The 9,153-nt window shown below is 51.6% G+C and overlaps 1 annotated feature.

The window, feature by feature from the left end:
* Nucleotides 4,891-4,970: an enhancer, noted in NCBI's record as "active region_17940". NCBI's record gives its function as "activates an Ori minimal core promoter by ATAC-STARR-seq in GM12878 lymphoblastoid cells {active_cell/tissue: GM12878}" and the evidence as "EXISTENCE:reporter gene assay evidence [ECO:0000049][PMID:35858748]".

Here is a 9,153-nt window from a genome sequence, read left to right as displayed (position 1 = left end):
GGAAGCAGAGGTTGCAGTGAGCCAGGATTGGGCCACTACACCCTAGCCTGGGCGACAGAATGAGACCTTGTCTCAAAAAAAAAAAAAAAAAAAAAAAGGTTCAGCAGTACTTACCCATGAGAACATCTAGGCTGATTTTTAGGGGAGTGGGAGGGCTTTGACACCATTACAGTTTCTGTAATACTGATTGACCTACTGAAATTCTCTATTTCTTCTTGGGCCCATCTTTTGACATTTTATACCTTTCTATTAATTTCTCCATTTTCCCAGAATTTTCAAATTTGTAAGCATCATAAATACAAAAGGAACTTATCAAAAAATTTTTCCACATCAATTGACATCATAGATTTTCCTTTGGATCTAATGATGTAGTGAATTACACTGGTGGATTTTCTGGAATGTTTTTCCGGGATAAACGCTTCCTGATGGTGATGTGGTGTCATTATTTTAACTCTGCTGAATTCAGTCAGCAAATATTTTGTTTAGTGTTTTTCTATCTATATATTCATAAGTGAAATGGGCCTATAATTTTCTTTTTTGTATTGTTCATAACAGCTCTTAAATTAACTTCAAATTCCTTGGTCAACGTTGTTCCCCCTTTTTACTCGGCATTTGATTTTACTCCCTTGCCTCATACTTCTTTCATCCTGATCAATGTCATCAGGATTCTCTACCTCATGTTGATTTCATCCTAGACATGGCTTCTGGTTCTGTTCGTCTTCTGCAGTCTTCCTTTGTTCTCCAATTCATTGATTTGTTCCCAGAAGCTTTTCTGTTAAACGCAGCTGAGCCTTTCTTTGGCTCTTAATGACTCTGAGTAGTTCCATGTCTTCGGCGAGGTTACATACTTCATGGAAGCCTCATAGAAGGCCCAGCAAATAGCCCTGGCTCGCCCGAGGCTGGGCTGCTGCCCCTAGACTTGAGGCTCCATCTCTCCAAGGCTGGCTAGCCCACGCTGCCCCTGCCTTTGCCATGGTGGGAGGGGTGAAGAGGAAAGTGCTGAGTACTGCCTGCTCAGCTGGCTTGCAAATGTCCAGCCCCCAGGCACCTCCCTATGACCTCCTCTCACCACATATTCCCTGGTTTGGGCAGGAATTCAGAGGTCTGCTCCTGGCCCTGAGCTCCCAGGTGCCATGCAATGGCTCGCCTGGGGCAGCTGTGGGGCTTGAACAGTTTAATGCTTGGCTCCAGTCTGAGCTGGCAAGGATGAGCGTGCAGGGACTAATACGGTCCTCACTAAGGCTAGGATGGAATGTGCAGCTCACAGCACACACATGTGACTGCCTCCTCTGCACACGGCAGCACACACCAGTCCCAGCCAGGCTTCCTGACAATGAAGTGGTCCTCATTTGCTGGGAGAGGGTGTTGTCATAGGGATCATGCCAGGCATGCAGCTAGTGAGGCATAGACCAGCCTGCTGGGGAGCTGGAGGAGGTCATATGGAGGATGGAAATAGCTTTTAAATTAACATGAAAGCTTATGCACAGGCCTAGCATGCCCGGGAATAGGCACTGAGCCTGGCACTTTAGGCGCTAGATACATACTTGCTGTATGAACGAATAAACGAATTGAAAGACCCAAGCTCTTATCCCAGCTCTATTGCTGTGTGTCCTTAAGCAAGTTTCTTGGCCTTGCTCAGCCTCAGTTTCTTCATCTGCAAAAATGGTAGAGGGGTGAATCCCATCATTTTTACAACTTCCTGGCTCTAGGGGTGTATGTTTCTATGCTTGAAAGCATTTATGGGGCGGCAGCTCTGACCTGAAGAGAGGCAGGGAGGGAGGGCCTCAGGAATGCAGAATCCCTGAATGTCAGAGACAGGGTGATTCCTATAGGCTCTGGTGTCAGATGAGTTACCAGAGTTCAGGAGACCCCACTGAGTTGGAACCTGTTGGTCAGAAGGGAGCAGGCACCAGGGCAGGGGTGGCTTTGTTCTGGACCAAATATCTCTTGGAGTAGGAAGACAACAGGTTAGGTTATTCCCTTCCCATCCAAGAGCACCTTCATCAGTCAGGATATCCAGGCTCCAGGGACTTAGCCCTCACTGTCTGAGTCCCTACAGATGCCATTATCTGCCTGATTTATTCATCCACCTGCCCATCGACCCACCTGTCCATCAATCCACCTGTCCATCAATCCATCTGTCCATCCATCCATCCTTCCATGTTTGTCGGTCCATTTGTCCATTCATCTACCATTTGGTCACTCATTCCATCCATCCATCAATCCATCCATCCATGTATCTATTCTTCCATCCAACCATTCATTCATTCATCCATCCATCCACTTATGCATTCATTCAGCAAACACCGAATGTAATAGGTCATTCCCTACTATTAAGAATAAAAACTAAGGTCTCTGTCCACAATGAGCTCACAGACTAGAGGGCAATATAGAGACAAGCAAAGAGATGATTCCAGCACAGTAAGTGGGAGATACTAGGTACTGAGGGTGAAGAGATGGAGGACCTAACCCAGCCTGGGAGGTGGAGGAGGTGGTTTTGAAAGGCTTCCTGGAGAAGGTGACACCTGAGATGAGTCTTGGAGCAAGATTAGGAGTTGTCCAGGTGAAGAGGAAAATAAAACAGAGCAGCAGGAGAGTACAAAGGCCTGGAGGTGGCCTGACAGCAGGAGCTATTTGGGGAGCTGCAAGTAGCTGAGCCTGGATGAAACCATGAGAGCCAGTTGGAGGTGGGGTGGGATGAAGCTGAGAGGCTCTGTGTAGTTGGGGAGGACATTTGCAACTGGAGGTAGGAATGGGGACTGAGGCCTTGGGCACATCCGAGAACTATTTGGAGAGGTAGAAAGCCTCTGGGTCAGGCATGGGAACTCCAGGTTCCTTCCTCCCTTCTACCCCTGAGGGATGTTAGGCAACTCACCTGGCTTCTCTGGGACTCAGTTTCCCAGCTGTGACGTGACAGGTTGCCCTTTTAGCCTCTTGGGACTCTTCCAGCTCTGAGGGAGCTCCTGAGTCACATGTGGTCAACAAAACCAATGCCCACGTGAACATCTGGTCTGGCCTTAGGAGGGAGTTAATTGTTCCCAGTCTCTATGTGTGTTAGGGGGAGGGTGGGGGGAGGCCTTGGTCAGGGGGACCTTGGTTAGGAGCCACCCCCGAGGGGCTCCCAGTCATGGGATGACAGGACATGCTGAGAAGGGAGTGAGTCACTGGCCAGTCATCAGCTTGGGCCCCAGGGTCTCGGGGGGGCAGGGGAGCCCCATTCCCTGCTCATCACAGAGCCTCCTTCTCAAGATGGCTGACCCTTTGTTAGAGCAGCAAAACCCCATGCTACACTCTAATATTTAAAACAGGCCCAAGGACAGTGGTTTGGGATGAAGCAAATGGTGAGAGCCCTCACCCAGAGCAGCCCCCAAGGCCCCACCGAGGAGCCCCTCCAAGTCTAAAAGTCCAAACACCCGAGTCCCTCAGCAGGAGTGACAGGCCCAGAGTCAGTAGGGACTGACTGGAGCTCACACAGCACGTTCATTCGCTTCTCTCCTCTCCTGGCTCTGACACTGCCCTTCCCCGCTCCTGAAGGATGGAAGATAAAGCCAGGCTCCTCCACCATCCCCTGCTCTCTGCAGAGCCTCCCTTCCCTCGAGGAGGTCACGTGTCCGGTGCCAGGTGGCTCCTCTCAGCTCAAGCCCATGGTGGCTCCTTGGCAGCACCATAGGAGACATAGCTGAACCATGCTCTGCCCCGGGCATGACCCCTGCAGAATTTGCCTCCATCTCTGGGTCTGTGTCTTCACCTTTTCAATGGGAAGAGTGAGAGGCTGGGATAACTAGCATGGCACAGGGCTTATTATGTGTCACGTGTATATGCAATCCTCACAGAAACCCCCTAAAGGAGGCATCATTATTATCCTCATTATACAGGTGGGGAGACTGAGGAACCAAGAAGTTGAGTGACTTGCCCAAGGTCACATAGCCAGTAGGAAGCAGAGCTGGGATTTGAACCCAGGTGGCTGGCCCTTGAGTCCCTGCTCTCACTCATTGTGCTATATTGCCTCTTAAAAGATGACCCAAAAGCACCTGCTAGTTCCTGCTGCCTGGCATCTGGACAGGAAGATAGAGGTGATTCAAGGGAAAGGGGGAGAAGCTCTGCTCATTTACTCACTATGTGACCTTGGGCCAGCCACTTCCTCTCTCTAAGCCTCAGTTTCCAAGGTTTGTTGTGAGAATTAAAGGGCTGGGGCAGTGACATTCAGGAGATGGTAGCAGTGATCGTGGTTAGTATTCCTTCAGTACTCACTCCTGCCCCACGGCCCCCTGCGGACACTCTCTTTGGGTGGGGAAGAGGTGGCAGCTGTAATGGAGACCTTTTCTTCCATCTCTGAGCTACCCGGGTGTGTCCCCAGGAGAAGTTTCCCCTCAGATCCCCGGAAAGGACCAGCAGGGGAAAGTCTAGCCACACCCTATCTCCTGGGCGCAGCCCCTGCTCCATGCTCAGATCCCGAGACCTGGTCCCCTTACGGGCCAGTTCACTATCAGGGACCGGCGTGGGCATATGGGCTGCCCAGGCGGCAGCTAGGGGCATCTAGACCAGCTTCCAGAAGCCCAGGGTGGAGGGCACGTGGGACAGGAAGACCCCAGTGCCCCACGCCACCAGCCCCATCAGCTCCCCTAGCCCCAGAGAAAACACTTCATTACTGGAAGCCCAGCCAGGCGGAGGGGGTGGAAGTAGCCTTGTTGAAAGAAACCGCACGAGGTCAGCCAAACCTCAGCCCCTCTTGGCCAGCAACCCACAGATCAACCACGTGGGGCTGGCTCTCCGGGTGTTTACGGAAACACTGGCCCTGAGGTCAGCCCAGCTGCTGGGCTGGGATCCCCTGGGACACCCCCAGGCCTCAAAGTGCCAGCTTGGCAGGAGTCTTCAGAGGCTGCAGCTGGGGCCTTATTTGCCTCCACAGTCCACCTGGGAAGTGGAGCGCAGAGAAGCCCGGTGGGCAGTGGAGATGGGCCAGGTCTTCAGGCTTCCCTGGACAGCTGCTTGAGCTGGGACCAGGGGCCAGACCCTTTCCAGACACCCCTGGGAAAGGGACATCATCTCGGGAGAGGGACATAGAAAGTGGACTGTGGAGGCAGATGGCCTGGGTTTGAATTCTGGCTGTGGCCCTCGCAGGCTCTGTAACTCTGAGCAGTTTACTTAGCTTTTCTGTGCCTCAGTTTCCCCATCTATGAAATGGGAATGGTGATAACAGTACATACTTCACAGAGGTGTTGACATAATTAAATGATTTTAGTAAGTGATCTAAATAAGTGATCACTGGCTGGGCGCAGTGGCTCAAGCCTGTAATCCTAGCACTTTGGGAGGCCAAGGCGGGCAGATCACTTGAGGTCAGGAGTTCGAGATCAGCCTGGTGAACATGGCGAAACCTCATCTCTTAATACAAAAATTAGCCGGGCGTGGTGGCACATGCCTGTAATCCCAGCTACTTGGGAGGCTGAGGCAGGAAAATCGCTTGAACCTGGGAGGAAGAGGCTGCAGTGAACCAAGATTGTGCCACTGTACTCCAGCCTGGAAAGCGAGACTCCATCTCAAAACAAACAAATAAATAAATAAATAAATAAATAAATAAACACAATTTTAAAATAAATAAATAAATAAGTGAGAATTTAATAGATGATCCAAGTGGTGTGCTTGGAACAGTCCTTGTCACAAACTAAGTGCTACCCTTAGTGCCGCCGCATCCTACCTAGTGGCCTCCCTCCTCTGAGATCCTCCTGCTCTGTTCAGGTTGGACCGCGTGCTCCTCTGAACTCCCAAGTGTTTGTTATGGAAATCTCTTCCACTTAAACGTTTGCTGAGCATTCCGACCATGAATAATGAGGAACTGAGGTTACAGAGACAAATCCAGTTTAGATCCTGCTCCAGGGAGCTTCAAAGCTAAGGCAAGGATGGGAGGTGAGGCCTGTGCGCTTGGGCAGGGTGACTATAATCCCTAATTATAGTCTCCATGGTAACGAACTGGGGTAACTAATTGGCTGTCCAATGTCTGTGTTTGTGGGAGCAGGGGCTACATGGTCCCTCCACTGCTCCGTCCTGGAGACCAGCTCAGAGACTGGCACCAAGTTGCTAATGACCGCCTGGCACTAGAAGGACTACATGAACACCCGATGCGCTTGGAGCCCTGGCCAAGCTGCCCACACTGAGCCCGTGGTTTCCTTCACCCTCAGCACCTTAATGGAGTAGGGCGTATCATTCTATGTTCAGAGAAGCAAACTGAGGCTCAGAGACGCCAGCCCAATGTCCCACAGCTGGCGGGAGATACAGCTGAGGCTGAACCCACATCCAAGTTCAAAGCCTGCATTTTTAGCTACTCAGCCATACATGATCTTCCTGCAATGTCAATGTAGTATCAAATTACACAGCAACCCTCAGCCTGGGAGTTCAGAGGAGCACCCAGCCTGACCCAGGAGGATCCAGAGGAGGGGAGGGAGGACTTTCCAGGCAGAGGGATCCACTTGCAGAAAGGCGGGGCTGGGCCGTGCGCTGCTCCCAGCGACCTGTGTGTGGAATAGCAACAACTGTGGTGTGCAGGTCTGGGGTGTGTGAATTTTGGGAGCAACAGGTGGTGGGGTTGAGGAACATCTGCAAACAGCCTTGAATACCGGGGCAGGGTTTTAGACTATCCTGTGGGGTAGGAGTCCCCAGAGAGTTCCAAGCAGGGCCTGCATGTGGCCAGGATGGAAGATGAATTACAAAGAAAGGAGTGAGAGGCTGGGAGAAAACCTATTTGCTCAAATAACAAGGCTCAGTATCATTACCATGGAGGAGCTGTCTCCCCTAAATCAAAACTTGCCTGCCTGGAGTTCCACTTCATTTTAAACAATGTGTGCATGTATTGGGGGGTCCCAGAGCCTGGGCATGGAGCAGCTAGGCTTCAAGTCCTTGGAGCCCCGAAATATGCCTTCCTTCCCACCCCAGCCCCAGCGCCTTCAATGCCTTCCTCTGGGGTTAACCCCATTGTGGCCACAGTGGCTGCCAGCAGGGAGGAGGCACAGAGGTGGTGGGAACAGGGCTGAGGGGCACACAGGATCCTCAGCAGCCAGCTTCACCCCCCAGCTTATCCAGGATTCAGACAAGTCCAAGTTCAGATCTTGGATCTGCCATAGACGTGAGATGCGACCCTGGCTGGGTGCCTTGAGGTCTTGACACCTGAGCTACCACACTGGTCACATAAAGACAATAATCAATGCAAGGGCAGCGTGAGGACTGTGGAGACCCTGGGCGGCAGGTGTGCAGCGCGGCGCCACCCCTGCTCTGGTACAGTGTGAGTGCTCAACGCTGTTGTTATTACTATAGCCTACAGCAGAAGCCGCCGTCTGGTCTGGGAAGGACTTGGAAACGCCCTGCTGTGGCCTAGAGATGCACAGAGAGCATCTGTCCCTCTGCCCAGGACCTGACTTAGCTCAGGGAGGCCAGTTTCCCCCAGTGAGCAATGGGGCCCCTGCTTGGAGCCATCTGCGTGTACCCTGCAGGGCAGAAGCTGGTGAAGAGTGGAAGAGGCAGTGTTCTGGGTTCCATCCCTTGGGTTTTAGGGATTAAGCCATCTTGATTCTACCCTCAGCTCCATCCTTTTCTAACAATGCATCCTTGGGCAAGTTACTCAATTTTTAAGTGCCTCCATTTCCTCATTTGAAAAATGGGTATAATCATAGTCCCTACCTCATAGGATCATTGTAAAGATGAGATGAAATCCAGCATGTAAATGCTTAGCCCAGGGCTTGGCACATGGTGAGCACTTGGTAAATATTAGCAATCATTGTTTCCAGGCTGTCGACACAGAGGAGGAGACATGGGACAAGGAACCAGTAAATAATGGGAATCAAACCATGCTACAAGGGGATAAATAATAAAAAGGGTATAATATGTACAAGTGGAGGGAGAGACGAAGGCCATGGCAAGAGGTCCAAGGCAGGGCCACTGCTGGGAAACAGGCCCAGCCAACCTCAGAAAGGCAGTCAATAAAAATAATAGGAACAGGCTGGGTGCGGTGGTTCACGCCTGTAATCCTAGCCCAGCACTTTGGGAGGCCTAGGCAGGTGGATTACTTGAAATTAGGAGTTCTAGATCAGCCTGGCCAACATGGCGAAACCCCGTCTCTACTAAAAATACAAAAATTGGCCAGGTGCGGTGGCTCACGCCTGTAATCCCAGCACTTTAGGAGGCCGAGGCGGGCGGATCACGGGGTCAGGAGATCGAGACCATCCTGGCTAACACGGTGAAACCCTGTCTCTACTAAAAATACAAAAAAATTAGCCAGGCGTGGTGGTGGGCACCTGTAGTCCCAGCTACTCAGGAGGCTGAGGCAGGAGAATGGCGTGAACCCGGGAGGCGGAGTTTGCAGTGAGCCGAGATCACACCACTGCAGTCCAGCCTGGGCGACAGAGCGAGACTCCGTCTCAAAAAAAAAAAAAAAATTAGCCAGGCATGATGGTGCACACCTGCAATCCAGCTACTCAGGAGGCTGAGGCAGGGGAATCACTTGAATCCGGAAGGCAGAAGTTGCAGTGAGCCAAGATCGTGCTACTGCACTCCAGCCTGGGTGACACAGCGAGACTCTCTCTCAAAAAAAAAAAAAAAAAAAAAAAAAAAAAGAACAATAACAGAATTTTCCCCACAAGTGAGCACTAAGGGCATGCTACATGCTGTGCTAACATGCTTTGTATACAATATCTCATTTCCTTCCCACGACAACCCTGGGAGGCAGGGCTGGGGCCAGGTTGAGGCAGCAAGGTGACCAGGGTGCAAATCTACCGAGGCCCTCACCCCGGGGCCTGAGCAAGTGCAGGGTTGGCGCCTCAGAACAAGCACCTCCCTAAATGTTATGCCTTGAGCACCTGGCTGGCTTCACCCTAGTCCCAGCCCTGCTGAGAGGTTGGTATAATATTTAGTCCCATTAGATTGATGTGAAAACCAAAGTCCCCCCACATGAGGCACCTGTCCAGTGAATGTCACATAGCTGGGGAGGAAGAGGCAGACCCCAGGATTTTGAAGCCTAGAGTTATTTTTACTCTGAGGAGCTGCCTCCCAGCCTGGACATGGAAGGTTCCAGTCCACCTCCCAGTGGTCCAATAACTGGAAGAGCTGCTTAGAACCACCCTCTTCTGGCTGGCCTGGGTGGCTGGGAGAGCTGGCCTCCTGGGTGGA

Source organism: Homo sapiens, chromosome 20 (assembly GCF_000001405.40).
Source record: "Homo sapiens chromosome 20, GRCh38.p14 Primary Assembly".
NCBI classification, from domain to species: domain Eukaryota; kingdom Metazoa; phylum Chordata; class Mammalia; order Primates; family Hominidae; genus Homo; species Homo sapiens.
Note: the sequence above shows the minus strand (reverse complement) of the source record. Positions and strands in the feature narration are given on the sequence as shown.